Consider the following 21,393-nt stretch of genomic DNA (forward strand, 5'->3'; position numbering starts at 1 on the left):
GTGTTGCCTTTATTAGGTTTTTGATTACTTAAAAACTAAACAAAACAAAAACTAAGCTTTAAAAGAATTAAGGATGTTTTCCATTTAATTCTCTGTATTGCTTTTCACAGCTTTTTGATTATCACTATGGCTACATGAATGACTTTAATTTTACAAGTGAACTGACTGGAATTCTTTTATTTTTTTTTTTTAATTTTTTGAGACAGAGTCTCGCTCTATCACCCAGGTTGGAGAGCAGTGGTGCCATCTCAGCTCATTGCAACCTCAACCTCCCAGGTTCAACCAATTCTCCTGCCTCAGCCTCCCAATTAGCTGGGACTACAGGCATACACCACCATGCCCAGCTAATTTTTGTATTTTTAGTAGAGACAGGGTTTCATCATGTTGGCCAGGCTTGTCTCGAACTCCTGACCTCAGGTGATCCACCCGTCTCGGCCTCCCAAACTACTAGGATTACAGGAGTGAGCCACCATGCCCAGCGAGCTGCAAGTTCTTATTATCTACCTATGGTCTAGACTAGATCCTAAGTTCTAGGTTCATCCCATCCAACTTTCTAATATAAAATTACTAAAACAGGTACTGCTGTATTCTGAAGCCCTATATAAACTTAAACTAAATAAATTTTAAGGAACAAGTCTTGTGCCTGATGTAGAGGCCACACAGAAAGTTCACCAAACTGCCCAAAGCTGTAACTAGAGACATTCAAATTGCAAACCAGGATGAGAAACTGACATTTTTCACGTTGTAGACAGCTTTTCTCAAGATACGGGAACAAGGCTCCCTACCACATGGAATCTCGCCCCTTTTTCTACCTTTCTGACTTGACAAAATAATGCTGCAATTAAAATTTCCCAATTAGTAAATGCTATAGGTAACTTGACAAACTCCAGCCTAAGAAATCCTTTCAGTTCATCTAGTTGGCAACCTTGACAATATCCCTGACATGACTGTGTATTCAAATTGTACTGCTGATCCCTTTAGTAGAGTTGTCATTGTTCGCTTTAATTCAACCCAGTCAACCACAAAAGACCCCAAACAGCCAAAGCAATCCTGAGCAAAAAGAGCAAAGCTGGAGGCATCTCACTACCTGACTTCAAAATTTACTATAAAACTATAGTAACCAAATCAGCATGGTACTGGCATAGAAACAGACACACAGACTGATGGAACACAACAGAGAACCCAGGTATAAATCCATGCACTTATAGCCAACTTATCTTCAACAAAATGCACCAAGAACATACAATGGGGAAAGGACATTCGCTTCAATAAATGGTGCTGGGGAAACTGGATATCCATATGCAGAGGAATGAAACTGGACCCGTATCTCTCACCATACACAGAAATCAAATCAAAATGGATTAAAGACAAAAATCTAAGACCTGAAACTATGAAGCTACTAGAAGAAAACATTGAAGAAATGCTCCAGAACATTAGTCTGGGCAAAGATTTTCTTTGTAAGACCTCAAAAGCACAGACAACCAAATCAAAAATAGACAAATGGGATTATACCAAGCTAAAAACTTTCTGTACAGCGAAAGGAACCATCAACAAAGTGAAGAGACAACCCACAGAATGGGGGAAAACATTTTCAAACTATCCATCTGACAAATATGTAAGGAGCTCAAGCAATTCAACACCAACACCACTAACATAGCTAGAAGAGAATAATTCAAATATTTCTAAGCATGAAGACATATTTAAAGCGATGGATATCTCCAGTAGACTAATTTTGATCTTTACAAATTATATCAATCTATTAAATTATCACATGTGCTACAAACTACGTACATGTAGCATGCATCAATTAAAAATAAAAAAATAAATTCAACACAGTCATAAAACGCTACTCAATGGCTACGACAGGTTTCACCAAGTTTCTCCCATGGTCTTCAGGTTTCTTTAGTTGATTACCTTCAAAATTAGGTTTGAGGTTTTGAATTATTATTCAAACTAGATTTATTACATTGTTGCTAATTATTTTTTGCATTATGATTTCTACACATTGTTCTCATTTCCTGTCTAATATTTGTAAAGTCGACTCTCCTAATAGAATAATGTTGGCTCAACACCTGGAGATGACTGCCGATGCCTATGAAACTGACAAGCAGGAATTTGATGCTGGATTCCAAACAAATCTGAGAAAAATTTTCCTTCTGGCCTCTTTGTTACTCAGATATGGCCCAGATCCCTGATATAGACCCCCATACCTTCCCCCTATTGTAGGACAGAGACAACTAGGATAGGTCCTACTATCAAGGGACAATTAACCTAACTTCAAAATAGTTTGTCACCAATACTTTCAGAAACAGGTTTTGATCAAAAGGGGGAAATGTGAAAGTTAATCACATAAACTGGGTCATTCTTGTCATAACCAACTAAGACAGAGTCAAGAAGCCAGGAGGACAAAGTACTCAGGGAACACAACATTGCTCCAAGCATATTAATCTCTGAAAGCCTGGCTGCTGAAGCCACGTGCCATAACCTGCAACCAGTTTTATTTAATGGCTACTGAAACCACCTCCTCCAACTCTAAGACTAGTTCTACCCTCTGCCATCACTCACCAATCAGGGCTTGCCAGTTCCCCAAAACTTTACTAGTGCCAAAAAACTTTCTTTTAAAGCAATACCTAACTTTCCTCCTTCTTATGAAACCTCCAACCTTCTCTTTGTTCTTCACACATAACAAAGACCACCCAGTCTGTGTGCATACCCCAACTATAGTGTATACCCCAACTATAATTCTTTCTTCCCAAATAAAACATTTTAAATATAGAAATTCATCTCTGTAGTTTACTCAACTTCAACATATAGACATCTGTGTTCATAAATATACAAACAGACTTTCCTTAGCTCTGTCCACTGAGAGGGCCTGGGAGCAATGACATCCTAATAGCAATGAACACACCTAGCCCTGGCCACATAAAAAGAGCCACAGCTCTTTAGAGAAATGACTGATTCAACGTCTGGGGCAAGGAGAGTTCAAGATAAGCCTAAAACATCTTGTGTCAGAAAACGTCGAAGTGCTCGAAGAATAATAGAAACAATCAAAAGGACACCAAAACCAGCTTGAAGGGGACTCACTGGCCAAACTGGGGACAACCTTAGCACCAAAATAATGAAAAAAAAGGATTAAAATCCACTGAATAAAATAAGAAGCCATGAGTCCATTAAGAAATAAATAAAAAGAAATTTGTAAAAAAAAAATGATATTTCTAGTTTTGAATTACCACCCTATAAAACACTTACTAATTCCAAAGGAAAAATTGTGACTTTATAGTGGAAAAACCTGGAAGACACTACCTTAATCAAGAAATCAAAGTTATCCTCATAAATGGGACATCCCAAAATCATGTGACATCTACTGTGATGCAGTGGCGACGGAAGCATCCCTTCTGTGATATTTCCCCCAAGATACATAACCTGAATTTAATCATGAGGCAGTATCAGACAAATCCAAACTGACAGACATTTTACAAAATAATTGGCCTGTAATCTTCAAGAGTGTCCAGGTCATAAAAGTTCAGGAAAGGCTGAGGAACTGTTCCAGATTGAGGGGACGGGAGATACACAACAATTTAATGTGACATATGATTCTGAGCTAATCCGTTTCCTATAAAGGATGTTACTGGAGTAACTGGTGAAACTTGAAATGAGGCTTGAAGCTTGGATGGGAGTAATGTATCAATGCTAATTTCCTGCTTGGAAGGATTGGTCGTACTGTGGTTGGGCAGGGCATGTTCTTATATGTAGGAAATACATAATAATGTATCGGGGGTGATGAGGTATCGGATTGACAACTTACTCTCTAATTCAGGAGAAAAAAAAATCTTTGTCCTGTATTTGCAGCCTTTTTTATAAGTTTGATATAAAAAGTTTCCAATCTTTACAAAATATCAATTAAAAAAGGAGAAGAAGATCACTCTGTGGCGCTAAGAGAGAGCACACAGGGAGATGATGCAGTCATTTAAAATAGGCATGTCAGCAAATAAGCTCATGGTCCAAATATTCACATGAAAAGTTTAGGTCTGAGCGAGCATTAAAATGCACCAAAGTGGCAGCTTCAATTTCAGCAGCAGAAGGTAATTATGCTGAGCAAAAATCAAATATGCTTTAAAAAATCAAGCATGTTAATGAAAAGAATCCTTTATTCAAACTCAAAATGAAACAGAAACCTCTGGCTTTAGGAAGAGAATGAGCAAAACCCACAGGAAGGAAGATGGGGATGTTTACTCAGCAGGAGACGGTGTCTGGCCACCACCAGGCCCTCCCTACGTAAGTGCACTGCCTACAGGGCTTGAAGGCTTCCCAAATGTCTCCACTAGAACTAAGTGCTGCTCTGTGACATTGTCTTTTGCTCAATCAATCAAAACAAAACAAAACAAAACAAAACAGGGTACTCAGTCCCTTTTCCAGAGTTCAGCACTCTTACTATCCACCAGGGACCTCTAATCACAGATGTAGGAGAGACTTAGTATTGTCTTCAGAGGGGGTTCCTCTGTAGGATGGCATGAAGGCGTTAATAATCTGAAGGTGTCACAGGAAGTTCTTTAATAAGGCAAAGATTTTAATACGGTGTTTGCTTTCATATATTAATGAATTCCTCCGGCACATAAAAACTGTTTTCATAAAACAGCCTTTAAGAGGCCAGGCACGGTGGTTCACGCTTGTAATCCCAGCATTTTGGGAAGCCATTGTGGACAGTTCACGAGGTCAAGAGTTTGAGACCAGGCTGGACAACACAGTGAAACCCCATTTCTACTAAAAATACAAAAATTATCTGGGCATGGTGGCGGGCACCTGTAATCCTAGCTACTTGGGAGGCTAGGGCAGGAGAATCGTTTGAACCTGGGAGGCGGAAGTTGCAATGAGCCGGGATAGTGCCACTGCACTCCAGCCTGGGCAACAAGAGTGAAACTCTGTCTCAAAAACAAAACAACAGCAACAACAACAACAACAACAACTCTCTCTCTCTCTCTCTCTCTCTCTCTCTCTCTCTCTATATATATATATATATATATATATACAGCCTTTATGAATACAAGCACTTGGCCTATCTTTGTGCTTTATACAATTTAATTCATTGATGCTATTACTGATTGACTCCAGGAAGAAAACAAACATGTTCCTTCCCTTTATAAGCATCTTTATTCCCAGCACGAATTCACCCAAAAGAGACAGAATCCTACGGAGGGGGGCCCTTGAATCAGAAAAGTAGAAAGCTTAGCTCTTATAAACCAGTATCAAGAGCAAAGAAATTATTTGAACATACTGAAAACTACTTGTTAGAAAGTAGTGTTTTCATTAAAATGCACGTGGAGGCTTCAATTATTGAAGTGCCCCTGCAAAAAGTTCTTTACTTAGAAAGAAGTCCCCTGTTAATCCTCCACTGAGTGTCATGGCTCAGTGGAAATATAATTCTTTAGGTTCAAAGTAGCTGATATGGTTTGAATCTGTGTCCCCACTAAATCTCATGTACAACTGTAATCTCCAGTGCTGGAGGTGGGCCTGGTGGGAGGTGACTAGATCATGGGGGCAGAGTTCTCATGAACGGTTCAGCCTAAATATTTAACTGTTTACTTAATGATAGTAAATGGCATCTGTATTAATAGGACTTGAATAAAGTAAAACTGATTTGGTTTTCCCCTTTTTATTGTTAATACCCATTCTCAGGTAAGGAATTACCTCAGTGGGAATGAACAGGTCCCTCACAAAGTTTAGAAAATACCAACATTAGATCCACTGACATATAATTACTTTGCAAGAAAGTGCTTCTCTCATTACACCCGGGAAGTAAACTAGCTCCTCCAACAAAAGACTCCAGGATACTATTCAAGGAGTCACCTTTGAAGCTTCTAGAATCATTTAATAAGCCATATCCCCCGGCACCAAAACTACTCCCTGATAATAAGTTAACCACTTTTAGAATCTGTGCTTCTTCAGGCCTTTTAGCTAATTAATACTCTAGAGCTTTAGTAAATTATGACTTCAGTATAGTAAAGGATAGATTTTATTGGTCTGATTGGACTGATTCTATGCCTTCTTAAAAGACATCTAACTTAGGTAGGAGATTTGGCATATTACGTAACTGATTATTTTTTAAAAAACCAAATTGCCCTAGGATATGCTGAGAAGAAATAAAATAGAGAGAAAAATACAAAATAAGAAAAGTTAAGAAGATAATGAGGTTTTGAAGGAGTCAGCCAGAAGAAAGCCCCTCCAGGCAGAGAAAGCACTTCTTCAGACAGTAAGTTCTAGACTGCATGTTCTATACAGCTGCAGCAAAGCAGACAGGGGTCCTGGTGGCAGGTGACAAACAAGTGCCAGGTGGTGAGGGGTCTCCAGTAACATTCTAGGGAAGGGGGGTTATGAGGCACTCCAGTAACAGAATTTCAGATAAATCTTAGTTGGGGAAAAGAGGGTATAGAAAGACTGAAAAGTGACCAGGAACTAATCAAAGGTGGGGAGACATTATTTGAGAGATGTCAAGAAGGATGAGTTGAGAAAAGGCACTGGGTTGGAGTCACAGGTAAATGGGAGGGAGGAGTAAGGATGTCTCCAGGACTCTAGTTTGACTGCAGGTTGATGATGGTGCTACAGGACGAGGGATTATAAGAGAAGCAGACTGAACACTGGGGAACAAAAGTGAGTTCGGTTTTAATGTCTAAGTCAATCTTCAAGTGGAAGAAAAATAAGAGCATGAAAGCTTCCATTGATTTGGGAGGTCCTTGGTTCCATCAATTAACACAATATTAGTGATTATCCATGAGGCGCTGGTGAGCTACACAAGAATAGTTTCAGTGCAATGATGATTATAGACACAGATGGTGGGGACATGGTGAGTTGATGGCAGATGAGGAAATACTGTTGCTCTTAAGAAACTTAGATGCTACTGGCGACTTCTGGACATGAGAGAACAAAACAAGAATAAACGGTAGAAGAAACCTACATGCAATGCTAAATACCAAGTGATATTCTGGGCTGTCTTGGGACAGAAAAAGGACACTAGTAGAAAAACTGGTGATATCTGAATGAAGTCTATAGTTTAGTGAATAGTGATGTCAATGTTACTTAGTTCTGACAAATGTTCCATGGTCACCTAAGATATTAATGTTAGGAGAAACTGGGTGAAGGGTATGCAGGACTATTTCTACACTATATTTGCCACTTTTCTGTAATCCTAAAATTTTTCCAAAAATAAAAGTTTACTCAGAAATATCTAAGAACAGATATTCCAACAACACTCCCTATTTTACAAATTAAAGTTTTTAGTTCAGGAGTTTCTGAATTTATTTTTAAATAATGTTTGTCTGATTACAACATGATTAAATACTACTTGCAATATAATAATTGGAAAATATAGACAATATACTTTTTATCTAACAACTTAGAGATGATAATTGTTAACATCTTTTCTTACTCTACAGGTAAGTGAATTCATTTTAGCCATCATTCAGACCAGTCCCCTGGGGGTCTCTTCCCCTTAATATTTTATCATAAGCTTTTCCTCTTGTGTAATTTAAATTTCTTCAAAGCATTTAAGTGACTACATACTTGTCTACACACAATGTTGTACCTATTTCCTAAGTTGTTGGACATTTGGATTATTAATATTTCCAACTGTTCATTATTTACAAATAGTACCACAATGACTATCATATGCATAAATGGAATGCACATGCTGATATCATTAGGAGAAATGTCAAAAAGTGGACTTGAAGGAAATGTTTACTCAGCACTTTTGATAAATACTGTCGGTATGTCCTCCAAACAACAGAACCTAATTCTACTCCTAGTAGCAGTATGCCAAGACTCAGTCTCCCCCATCCCACCAGCAAGGAGTATGAGCAGTTTTTTTAAATTGTCGTTAATTTGGTAAGTTAAAAAATATCATCACTACTTATAAATTTATATTTATTTGCATTTTAATGAGACTAAATATTTTTAATATATTCATTTTTAGCCACTTTGATTTCTTCTTATCTGAATTACCTGTTTATGCCCTTTGCCTGTTTTTGGACTGAGATCTTGTGTATCTCATTATTTTTTTCTAATTCCTTTATCTATTATTGACCTTTCATTAGCTATAGTTGCGGATAATCTTTGCTAGTTTGTTGTTTCCCTTTTAATCTTGTTTATTATGATGTACTTTAATGTAGAGAGTTTAATTTAGATATGCATACACCTAATTTTCTTTTACAATTTCTTATACTCCTTTTATGTTTATAAAATCCTCACTGCCAGGGCCAGGCGCAGTGGCTCATGCCTGTAATCCCAGCACTTTGGGAGGCCAAGGCGGGTGGATCACCTGAGGTCAGGAGTTTGAGACCAGCCTGGCCGATATGGTGAAACCCCATCTCTACTACAAATACAAAAAATTAGCCAGGCGTGGTGGCAGGCACCTGTAATCCCAGTTACTCGGGAGGCTGAGGCAGGAGAATCACTTGAACCCGGGAGGCGGAGGTTGCAGTGAGCCAAGATTGCGCCATTGCACTCCAGACTCAGCAACAAGAGGGAAATTCTGTCCAAAAAAAAACAAAACAAAACAAAACAAACCCTCAATGCCCCAACACTCAACCAAACAAATACTAATACTGTGTTAGTTAAAAAGAGCACTTACACATTTAGAAGGAGAGAAGCCAGTTCACTTGTTCAACTGAATAAATCTGTTGTTTTTATTTTAGATATTCAAACGTAAAGGCATATAGGTCTGGGATTACACGGTGATTGGCAATACTAATTCTAAAATTTAATCACACACAGTCATTAAGAAGTAATACTTACTGAAACAAGCCTTCTCTTAGAGCTATCTTAGTTAAGTTTTTAGAATTACTATGAAGAGTTTATCTCAGAGAGTTTCCAAAATAATCAAAAACTCAATCTCAGCATGACTATGTCAGGGAAAATCTAGTTCAGCCAGTCTCCAAGAACACAGAGGGGTGTAGCAGACACCATTAATACTTTAATTATTAGCAGTTATTTTTTCCCATCCCATTTCTCATCAAGATTCTAGTTTTCTCTGCCTTTGTGTTAATAGCTACAAAGAAAGAAGAATGTTAATGTAGAAAGAACATAAAGGTAAAGTGAAATGAGCACAGGCTTTAGAACTTGCTAGATGTGGGTTCAAATTCTGGATGCACCACTAACCAGTTAAGTTTACCTCAAATAAGTCAAATGGCCTCTTAAAGCTTCATCAGCTGTAACACGGGCTTCAGTATCAGTCGCACAGACTGGGCACTCAATAAAATGTTTTAACAATGATTTCCAAAGAAACACATGCTTGTTATAAAATCACTACTAAGAATTAAGGTTTATTTTGCAATATAGATATATTTTTTTTATATACAGGGTCTCACTTTGTCCCCCAGGCTGGAGTGCAGGGACAAGATCTTGGCTCACTACAGCCTCGACCTTCTGAGTTCAAGCTATCCTCTTGCCTCAGCCCCACAAGTAGCTGGGACTACAGGTGCACACCACCAGACCCGGCTATTTTTTTTGTATTTGTGGTAGAGATGGGGTTTCACCATGTTGCCAGGGCTGGTCTTGAACTCCCAAGCTCAAGAGATCCACCCGCCTTGGTCTCCCAAAGTGCTAGCATTACGGGCATGAGCCACCACGCCTGACCTATTTTTCAATACAATTTTCTGTTCACATATAAATATACTATGTGTACATACACAGTTCTGTGTGGGGTTTTTGTTTAGTATTTTTTTTGTTACTATTTCTAAGACATGAGGTAAGAGACTAAATCTATTTTGTTTTATAAGCATCCTCAATAAAAAACTAAACTATTTTCATAGAGAAAAATCCCCATTATAATGCTAGCACAGTAAGCAATTTGGAAATTAGTTCCTTTGTCCTACTAAAAATGGTAAAAATATAAATTACCTCAAAAAGCCCTCAAATAATCCAATTTGCACGACAACTAGCAGTTCATAGTATCTACATACACAAACCAAATCTCAACCTTTTCCTAAACATTTGTTATGTTCTACAGCTGGGGAAAACAGGAACAATATATTATCAGATTTAAAGAAGAGTCAGCCACGGTGCGAACTTTTGACAATGGACCATTAACTATAAAACAAGTCCAACAATGAAAAAACACAGCAAAAAGTTACTTTCTGTTAAAACTGAAAAGCTTCCAACTGGACGCTCCCAGACTTGTTAAAAACAAGAACAAATAAATAAAACCAAAAAGCTATTTGAGATAAATATATACCTGGATGTAATGAAACCGTAAATACTAAATCAGTAAAAAACGTTAGTTTGAAGGACTGAATATTTTTACATTGTTGGCCTCAGTCTGCTTTTCTTTTTCTAGAGTAAATGTTTCGACCACAGAATAAGACAACCTAAAACAATTTACATTAGTGTGAAAATATAGCTGCAGGGGAGATACAACAACATCATAAATCACAACCTCTCTCTGAGAAGAAAAAAATTGTTTTAAAAACCCCCTGCTGTTAGGGCCAGGTACAGTCCAATTCATTTCTAAAATCCCAGTGTTACATAACTGAGGTATATTTTGATAGAGCTGAACATCAAGTTATATAATTATCAAACTACTGCATTCTGTTTTGATTTTTCAGCAAAGAACATGACAGGCCTGGGGAGGCGGCAAGAGAAGAAAAGAAATTTAAAGCACCACCCATTTGTTTAAAATAAAAAAACATAGCTTTTATTTTTAAAATCATTTAGGGAGAAAAATCACAAATTCTCAATATTTCATCCCAAGACTAAGCCATAGAAAATGGACTTTAAAAATCTCAATTCTTATTTGTCATTTTTTTCAAGGTATTTTTAGGTGTTTCCATTATTTAAAAATAAACACAAAAGCTTCCTCAACAAAATGTTAAGGTACTTTAAAAGTTAATTAGAGGACCATTATCATATTTATATGCTTCCTTTCCGTAGATAATAACACAAATGTTGTTGGACATTCTACTACATTTGATAGAAAATTTAGTAACAGCTGTCTCCTTGTGTAGCAATAATCATAAAATATGTGGAATGTATATTTCCAGAAAATCGCATCTTCATCTGTTGGTTTAAATTTAAAGCATCAGAGAATTAGTTGAATATGAAAAGGCTATTATCTAAAACCTATTGATGTATTAATAACCATAATGAGGAGTATTCATTTTAGAGAAAATGCACAATCTCCTCTACAACATGACTTCAATACAATGCAATCATTAGAAGATCAAATCAGTCTGGGAAAAGCTCACACAAAGGATTATTAAAAAACTAAATAGCATCTCTTTATTTTCTTGTTCACAGAGAAAATTTACAAATAAGTTGTTTTATTTAAAGCCTTTTTAAAAGGCAAATAAATGAGATAACAAGAGCTTCAGATGTTTTTGAAGCATATATTTGAAAACCTTAGATGACACTGATAAAGTCTGCAGAAGAGTATGCAATACCCTGAATAAATGGTAGATATTATTATCACATATTTTAATTAATAAACCTAAAACAACTAAGCAATCTAATAAAAATTCACTTAAAATTTGTTCACTGTGAACTACCACTGTAAATATTGGTGATAATTACCGTGACTCAAAGGGGTTGTGCTATCCTTGGGCTTCTTTTCCTCTTCAGCTTGCTCCTAGAATACAGAAAATGGTGTTTAGATGGTATTGCTGGATAATTGTTGGAAACACTGAAAACTAATGTTCCTTTTTGCAGGAAGGAAAGTTATGAAGATCCTCGTCACTGAGGCGGACAACGCACACAATACCCAGAGTCTTCCGGTGGGTGCCCAGGAGGGGTACACATGATCCATTTGGACGTGGAAGGAATCCATTAAAAGTATTGCTTCTGGCTAAAATAAAAGAGACAGGAAGCTTTGATAACAGTTAATATTGAGGTTGACACAGGTACCTTCCCTGAGTGGATCCCTGGGCCTGACAGTCGCACAGGAGTGGCTGACAGAAGAGGCTTGGTCCTCACCGAAGCCAAGCCCTCCATCCTACTTTTGCTTTCAGCCTATCTGGGTCTACTACAGTTTGTAAGTACTCAGTTAAAATGCTTTAATTTTAACCAAACTGACCTTCATAGAATGGACAAGCGACTTCAAAAATTCCTGAAAAGAAACCATGAATTGTGTATGATGAACAATACAAGCACACGCAGCAAGCAAGATGGTGCAGCCCCACCCCATGGCGCAAGCAAGGCATGCTCTTCCTGCAACTCTTGAAGGAACATTTACCATTCAACAAAGACTAGGAAAGTGGCTTTCTCTTTTGAAAGACACAATAACAAAGAGCATTTTGAAAGTGGGTATCCAGATATGTGTCTTCTTTATGTCATTTTGTGGCCATCAAAATGTATTCCACCTATTAAAAATTTGTGGCCAGCCACAGTGGCTCACACCTGTAATCCCAGCACTTTGGGAGGCCAAGGTAGGTGGATCACGAGGAAAGGAGTTCGAAATCAACCTGGCCAACATGGTGAAAATCCGTCTCTACTAAAAATACAAAAAAGAAAAAATAAGCTGGACGTGGTGGCATGTGCCTGAAACCCCAGCTACTCAGGAGGCTGAGGCTGAAGAACTGCTTGAATCTGGGAGGCGGAGGTTGCAGTGAGCCAAGATTGTGCCTCTGCACTCCTGGCTGGGTGGCAGAGTGAGATTCTGTCTCAAAAAAAAAATTGTAATAATTATGTACTTAAAAATTGGGAACGGAATTTCCCAATTTTAAAATCTTTTAAATGAAGGGTTTCAAGCAGGCTTTGAACTTATTTTTGGAAACATAAATATACAATAGTTTTTTGGGGTTTTTTTGTCTGTTTTTGAGATGAAGTCTTGCTCTGTCACCCAGGCTGTAGTTCAGTGGCACAATCTCGGCTCACTGCAACCACCACCTCCCAGGTTCAAGTGATTCTCCTGCCTCAGCCTCCAGCTAGGATTACAGGTGCACACCACCACACTCGGCTAATTTTTGTATTTTTAGTAATGATGGGGTTTCACTATATTGGCCAGGCTGGTCTCAAACTCCTGACCTCAAGTGATCTGCCCACCTCGGCCTCCCAAAGTGCTGGGATTACAGGCATGCACCACTGCGCCTGGCCAATATGTAATAGTTTTCATTATTTCCAAGAACAACTAATTATCATCAGAGAATGTGAAAATTTAGCAGCTGATTTATACAAAAACTTTTGCTGAAAAATGAGTGTTATGAATTAGTAAGTTTGATCAAAAAATATTTCTTCAATTTATTCTTATATAGTTTTGGGATAGATCTTTTTAAGTTATGGCTAGTGTGGCTGTCAGTCCCAGTCTGCATGGGGCAGACCTGTTCATAGCACTTTGAAAAGCCCCACATCTGGGGAAACTCCTGAGTCCTAGGCAAATGAGGAGGCTTGGTCACCCTAGCTTTGACAACCATAAAAACCAAATCTAAAAAATAGACTGCACATTTGGAAGGCTGACGCGGGAGGATCACCTGAGGTCAGGAGTTCGAGACCAGCCTGGCCAACATACTGAAACCCTGTCTCTACTATAAATACCAAAAATTAGCCGGGCGTAGTGGCGGGCACCTGTAATCCCAGCTACTCAGGAGGCTGAGACAGGAGAATCGCTTGAACCCGGAAGGCGGAGGTTGCAGCGAGCTGAGATCACGCCGTTGCACTCCAGCGTGGGCAACAAGAGCTAAACTCCATCTCAAAAAAAAAAAAAAACAAAAAAAAAAGACTGCACATAGTGGTATCACAAAGCTCTAAACCAGGTTTTCAAAAATGAGTCATGTATACTAATATTTTAATGAAAGCAAACTAGTTTTTAACTGATGAAATAAATACTATTAATTTCATTTTCCTACCTTTTTTTAGTTCCTTTTTCAAGTCTATGGTTTTAAGGTATAAAAGATAATTTGTATAGTAACAAAATGTATCAGTGTCTTAATTGTCTTTCATCCCCAAAACATAGTCTGGTATCTAGTCTAGGTCGACAAATATTTGATGCATGAAGGCAAGAATGAAAGGTTCAAGAAGAGTGCTTTTCTGCCTGGTAGATTTCACATCCAAAGTTATCATGGATATCTTCGTGCAATTAACAAAGTAGCATTCTGCTAAAATGTACTATAAGCCAATGCTTCTTAACATGCATTTGAATCATCTGGGAATCTTACTAAAATGCAGACCTTGATTCAGTGGCTCTAGGGTAGAGCCTTAGATTACAAATTCCAACAAGCTCCCAGCAGATGCTACTGCCAAAAGTATACGGCCCTCACTGTGAGTGGCAAAGCCACCACCTTTTAGCAGGGCATGCAGTGGGAGTGGAAACAGTCACGCAATCATATCTACCCTGTTCTACTGCAAGTGAGACGATGAACTCCTGTCTTGGGTCTAATTTTCCATGGTAGCACTTTACCCCAGTTCCACCCCTGTTCATTCACTCAATACACAGGAAATTTACATATGTAATTCAAAACAAAGAGACTCCCTTCTACTGCAAAACCTAAAACAGTAAAAAGAAACAGCATTCGAGAGTTGATTATGTTCACACTACAGCTACTGAAGCATTTTTATAATCACTGTGTCATTCAAAAATAAAAAGAAATATATAATATGCTATCTGTCGCTCAGTGAGTGTTTGGTTCACACTTCTGTATTTGCTACTGAAATTCTGCCTAGAAAGAAAAAATATTCCACACAAAAACAACATTACCTCTCACTTTGGATTTAAATTGCCTAAGCTTCCAACATCTGTACGTTCTTTAGGTGGATCAAGGTTATAGACAGGTAAACATACACATATACACACGAAAGATTATATTGTGTATATCAGAATAAACATATATATCTATAACATACTGACCTATGTTTAAACAATTTTGCAAATGGAAAAGTATTTAGTATCATATGGTAGAGCAGGGAAAATGCTGAATTTAGGGCTAGGTGACCTAAGGTCAAATCTCAACCCACCACTAAAAGCTATTTAACTTTGAACAAATGACCTACATTCTCTAGACCTGATTTTTCTCATCTGTTAAAATAAAGAAATTGGACTAAATGTTCTCCAAAGTTCCTGCTAGCTTTAACATTCTTTCTTCTGTCTAGCTAATTAATTATTTCATAAAGGTAATAAATCTACACTGCTATTAATGAACAGAGAGTGAATTTTAAAAAACAAAAGAAAAAATTAGCGCTTTATCTTATCCTTGCAGACAGACCACTAAAGGAAATCAATACAAAATGCGAAAAATAAAACCATTACTGCGATTTCTCAGGTTTCAAACTTTAATTCTGAAAACTGAAAATAAAGTTCCAGAAAAAAATAGCGTTCTGAAAAACAGGGAGATAATGGTTTAAGGAACATAAAATAAGTCTTTGCTATGGTACATTTCCACTCACCAGGTTAAAATCCATCATTTTGGAAGACAGGATTATGAAGTGGGAAAATAACCAAAAAGGCTTAATGTTCTGTTCCCTCCTGCTGGCACTGGACGCATCACATGCTTTTACTACAAGGCACAGTGACGTTTTCTAATTAATTAGTGTCTACGTTTCTCTGTCTATGAATTCCAATCAAGGGAACAAAACAGGATTTTCAGCTACTGATTTGTGGTTGGCAATTTTGATTCATCACCTTGGAACTGCCAGATAATACCCCTTTGCTCTCCTTTGCTGTCAGACCAAAGACTCCTGAACACTCAAGGATTTCTGAGAACCCTGCTGTTCTTGTTCCATAAGAACCTGCTATCTGTGCCCCAGAGGGTGATACACATTGGTTTCATGGACTGTAGAAAACAGTGAAATCCTATTTAATAACCCCAGTGACAAACTGCTATTTGAATTTCACCTGCTAGTTCAAGTCCACTTTTCAACTTCTTTTTTGCTCTGATCCAATGTGGGATATAAACTGAAGATAAATAGAATTTGCCTATTGGATAAAAGTAAAGAAATTTGTGGGACTTTTCTCCATCACTCTACTGGAATTCAGACACACTCAGGGAGAATGAAATACTTCCATTTTGTTCAAATACTTGATAATATAGCTACAGTCTCCAAATGAAATCTCTCTAAAGTGTTTGCTAAGACACATACAAAAAACAAAAAGCAAAAAATATAACAAAGCCTTATAAATACATGAATTTTACTGACTGTTGTAAACTGGCATCAGTCTTCTATGAGGCAACAAAATGTAAAGAATTAACTATTACTTAAAAATAGAAACCAAAATAAACTCACCCCAAACATTTTCTCAGTATCTATTTAAGGATATTACAGAAAGATTGCATTACCCTCTGCAAAAGTTGAGTTCAACCATGGCCTTTGATGTCATTCTTTAAAGGCCAGTGGCCACCATCTCAAGTACAACTTTCTCTGCTTGGCCATCAAGCCTCACCAAGTGTGACCAGCCAGACCTACCCCAGTCACCCTGCAATCTAATTGCACAGCAAACCTTATACTTACTGAAATGGAAAGACCCATAAAGTTCTTGCAATCTAAGACTGTTGTTCTACAGACAAAGAAGCTGAGCCCAGCCCAGTGAAGTGACTTGTCTTTTGCCACACAGCTAATAAGCAGCACAGCTAAAGAATAAAACCTGAATCTCCTGACCCATGCCCCAACCCCATCCAATGCTCACCTACTATACTGCTAATAGCAACATCTGCTCGAATCAGATAAGTCATTAAGGTCCAGCCATATATCACACACGTCACCTTCTCTTCCAACCCCATACCTTTGCTCATGCTGCCTCCTTAAGGGGCCCAGATAATTCCCACTCTTACCCCTCAACTTTCTTACCTCTCAAGGTTAGAGAGCATCTAGATGTTAATATATTAAAAAGTTATATGGCCAGACACAGTGGCTCACACCTGTATTCCCAGCACTTTGGGAGGCCGAGGCAGGCGGATCACAAGGTCAAGAGATTGAGACCATGCTGGCCAACATGGTGAAACCCCATTTCTATTAAAAATACAAAAAAAAAAATGAGCTGAACGTGGTGGTGCGCACCTGTAGTCCCAGCTACTCGGGAGGCTGAGGCAAGAGAATCGCTTGAACCTGGGAGACGGAGATTGCAGTGAGCCGAGATTGCGCCACTGCACTCCAGCCTGGTGACAGAGCAAGACTCCGTCTCAAAAAAAAAAAAAAAAAAGTTATATTCTCTCCAATTAGATTTACCAGGTTGGATTTATAAGCTGTTTGTTACAACAGAATAACAATGCATTCAAGGTAAATATCTTAGATATTCTTCATCCTTCAAGGTCAGACTCAAGCTCCCGATGACTCTACCTTTCTCTGAAGGGTGACCATACCTTAGAGCACAAATGGGCTACATATGTACTTAGTTGTTTTCCATTACTCTACATAAGTTAGTTTTCCTTTATTCAGCAATAGTCTAAGATCCTTTTGAGAATGAAAAATGTCTCATATTTCTATCTCTCAAAGTTCATAACTCACTATTTAGATAAAGATCCATTGATGTTAAGAGGTTCACAGGGAGAGGGAGAATGGGAATTAACATTTTTTCAGTATCAAATATTTTATATACACAGAGATCATATATTTCATTTTTGTATATTCATTTTGTATATTCAAACAAAATTTCCTTTTTCTTTTGTGAAACTTGCATTTTGATGTAGGAAATTTGAAATTTCACAGCCTGTATATTATTTTGGGGTTTTGTGCGCAGAACGCTTACATACACACTAGACATCAATGAAATCACCCTGAAAAAAAACAGACTTCATTTCCCCAATCACCACGTGCCTACTTTGCTAGTCAGTTCTAAAGCAAGCTGGTGAGCAGAAAAATCTAGTAAAGGGCACCAAAAATGACACTTATCTTTGTGTTGGAAGTTGTGAAAAGACAAAATACGTCAAGGAGTCTAAAGGGACAGAGAAAAACCCTCTTCAAGTCTGCAGCAGCACTACAGGGACCAGATCATAAACAGAGGTTTACCCATACGGTAGAAGCAAAGATGTAAAACATATAACAAATCCCAAGGAAAAGAGGCACTCTCTCAGATGCTGTTAGGGAGAGGATAAACTAGGGTGATCTCTTTGGAGGATGATACCTAGTGGTTTATCAAAATTTACGAGCATATCCTTTGGTACAATAATTTCACTGCAGTGATAGTACCTATGAATGAACTGCAAAAGTATTCACGTATAAAAAGGATATATGAATAAGAACATTGGATATAACATTGTGTATAACCATAAAAATTAAAATAATGTAAATGTTCACAGTAGGGCACTGTTAAAATAAATTATGGTACATTCATAAAATGAAATACTATGCAGCACTGAAAAGAATAAGACCTGTATCTCCAAGACATTCATAATTAAGTGCAAAAAAAGCAAGAAGCAGAACAACGAGCAGAATGTGCGCCCATTTGGGATGTGTGTATGTATGTGTATATGTGCATAAAAGGTTTGGAATTTTTAGCTGTCTTTTTTTTTCTTATGTAGACATACGAGAAACTGTACACAGTGGTCACACGGTTAGGAAAATATTTAGGGGTTTAGTGTATGTGTGAGGGGATACGGTGGATAATTTAATTCTTACTTTACTGCCTGTCTGTACTGTTTTATTTTTTAACCATATGCCTACGTTCTGAAAAGCATAAGAAAATATTTTTTACATTCTATCTAGAAATACATAGAAAATATTAGTCTAGAAAGACATTCACTGACAGATATTAATATTATCATCTAAAATTATTAGATATCCAAGGTATGAAATTACTCTCTCAGAAGAAAATGTTCCGAAACACCCAACTGTGCATTTGCTTGATGTTTCATGTGCATGATCTGCCAATGGGATGTTATTTAGTTGACTAGAAACGTCGCTTGTAAACCAGAAGGGTAATACACAAAATAAAGGATGTTACCAATATTTCAAGGAGTCTAGCAAAATTCAAGCATGACTCAACCCTTCTTTCCACAGTGAATGCAGCCCCAGGTGTGAATACAGCCTACTGTATTAAACTGTTAAATCTGACTAATGAAAATGAACATTGTTACTGGCAATGAGCCCCAAACTGACAGTGCAACGTGGACTAAATGTGCATCTTTTCAATTATGTGTGAACATGCTTTAAAATAATGATATGTCCCAAACATCTCAAAAGGTAGACTAAGAATATGGCCCTTTAAAATATTATTTTGTTACTAATGATTGAAAAAATTCATTTGCATGGAGATGTCATTAAGCACCAGGAACATCATTTAACAGATATTTTTGAAAATCTAGCTATGCAAGCCCTGCACTAAAAGCATATCTAAGTGTTAAGCACTTCTGGAGTCCAATAAAGGGAAAGTCCCAATGTGGGGTAGAAATAATGGTAAACACATCAGGATTAAGTTAGAAACTGAGTTGGTCTTTAAGAGGAAATTGGGATTTGTGCTAATGCAGAAGAGGCAAACGGTTAAATACTCAGATTGTAGAGTAAGATAACCGAGTACTAAGATAGGGGGGTAACAATCTCAGCAGCTTAAAGAGAAATGATACTGACAATTAATATAAAATACATGTGGATGGGGGAAGGTGGTCTCAAATGTTAAACAAAAAAATTTAAGAAAAATATTGATTAACTGTAACATGCTTAGCGGTAAGATGCATCTAGCCACTTCCCTAGGACAATGGTTCTCAAACATGAGTGGGCTTCAGAATCACCTGGATTGTTAAAACAGATTGCTGGGCCCCACCCCTAGAGTAGCTGATTCAGAAGATCTGGACTAGGGCCCAGGAATCTGCATTTCTAACAAACCTCCAGGTGATGCTGATGCTGCTGGTCCAGGGACCACATGTGGAGAAGTACCCAGAATAACTCTGAACACATCAAATCCTGAGTCTCCTCGTGCTCTGATTCCTCAGAGGACACGACACAGCAGAACACAAAGAATGACATCTTCACCTAAGCCAAGACAGATGCAGGCCTGCCCAAGTCTGGTCCAAGACACCTCTTAAATAGAAAGTTCTTCCCTTATACATTTAGAGCTCTAAACTCTCCTGGAACTGATCTAAGAAAAGCAACCAATCTGGACCCAGGGAACTGGCCCCTGGCCCAATGTTAATCACCCCATTGCCCAGTGAGGCTAATCCTGAAGGAATGGCTCTAGAGCTTGGCACAGACCTATTCTGAACATCTTGAAACCAACCTCAAACCAGATCATTCTTTGAGATGTCTCATGTAATGTCTGGAGTTCATCAAACCACACCTAACCTGGAACTGAACCAAAAGAAAATGTATTACATGATGTCACTTCAGCAACGGCAATGTGTAAATGTATAACCACAAACCACACGAAGACCCCAAAATCCACATCCAAATACATGCTAAGAACCAATGAAGGGTCACAGATGAGAATGCTGTAATGGCCCACCATCCCCAAAAATAATCACCATGGAGGTCTTCTGGTCATTCTGCTAACTTTTAAATTTGCAGGAATACATAAAGCTGTCATAAGGAAACAGAACAGGCATGGTGACTACAGGCATAGTGAACATTATACCTTCTAAGTATCTAGATGTTGCTGTGAAGGTATGTTTTTAGATATGATTAATATTCAAATCAGCAGGCTTCGATCAAAGTAGATCACTCTGTAATGAGGGTGGGTCTCATTTAATCAGTTGAAGGCCTTAAGAGAAAAAACAGGTCCCCCAAGGAAGAAGGAATTCTGCCTGCAGACTGACCTGGACTCAAGACTGCAGCACCAACTCCTCCCTGGGCCTCCTGCCTATCAGGCTGCCCTGCATATTTCAGACGTGTCAGCCCCCACAACCTGCCTCAATCAATTCCTCTTTTTAAGATAAGTCTCTCTCTCTCTCACCCTCTCTCTCGCTTGCTAGCTCTCTCTCGCTCTGTGTGTGTGTGTACACAAACACAAAAATATCACACACATATACACATACGGTCATCCTAGGGGGTCCTGTTTCTCTGGAGAACCCTAATGTAACCCCATGCAGTTTACAGCTTCCGTTCTCTTACTTGAGAATGATTGATTACCTCCACCTTTGTAAAAGAAAAGGTCTCCTTTCACCTTTAAAGTTAAGATCACCTTTTAAAATATATATCAGACTTTAAGAACACTTATATTCTATACCCCTACACATAAAGCTCAAGCAGAAGCCACATCGTTTCAAGTGACTGAAAAGCCCCTGAGTGTGGTTATGTGAACTCTACTATTCCATGGTGCATTTTGGTAGCGATCACACACTGTGAGGAAGGGTCCAGGGATGGACATCTTACCAAGCGTCCGTCCTGATCCAAACGCTCTTTGGAATCCATATTAAGCTTCCTTTTCCTGTTGGGCTGTTTCATTGCCACCCCCGCACTCCTTGGCAGTGGTTTTCTGTAAAACAGGGTTACATAAGAAGTTGGGGATGGGGGTGTGACCCCTTCAGAATTACAGAAGCAAACAAGAAAATGCTTTCA

The 21,393-nt window shown here is 38.2% G+C and overlaps 1 protein-coding gene across 30 annotated transcripts in view; it reads right to left on the reverse strand.

Moving 5' to 3' along the window:
* The window catches only part of L3MBTL4 (L3MBTL histone methyl-lysine binding protein 4), a 460,543-nt gene that overhangs the window by 335,630 nt on the left and 103,520 nt on the right, over nt 1-21,393 (reverse strand). For all 30 annotated transcript variants that reach the window (NR_158610.2, NR_158609.2, NR_158611.2 and 27 more), the window contains exons 3-4: nt 21,208-21,310; nt 11,557-11,611 (exon numbers count right to left, since the gene is read on the reverse strand). Coding sequence is in view for 24 of the 30 variants with exons in the window: in NM_001365765.2 (NP_001352694.1) it covers nt 11,557-11,611; nt 21,208-21,279 (127 nt within the window). In the remaining 6 variants the exon portion in view is untranslated. The remainder of the gene's footprint in view (nt 1-11,556; nt 11,612-21,207; nt 21,311-21,393) is intronic.

This window comes from Homo sapiens, chromosome 18, assembly GCF_000001405.40.
Source record: "Homo sapiens chromosome 18, GRCh38.p14 Primary Assembly".
In the NCBI taxonomy this organism is placed as follows: domain Eukaryota; kingdom Metazoa; phylum Chordata; class Mammalia; order Primates; family Hominidae; genus Homo; species Homo sapiens.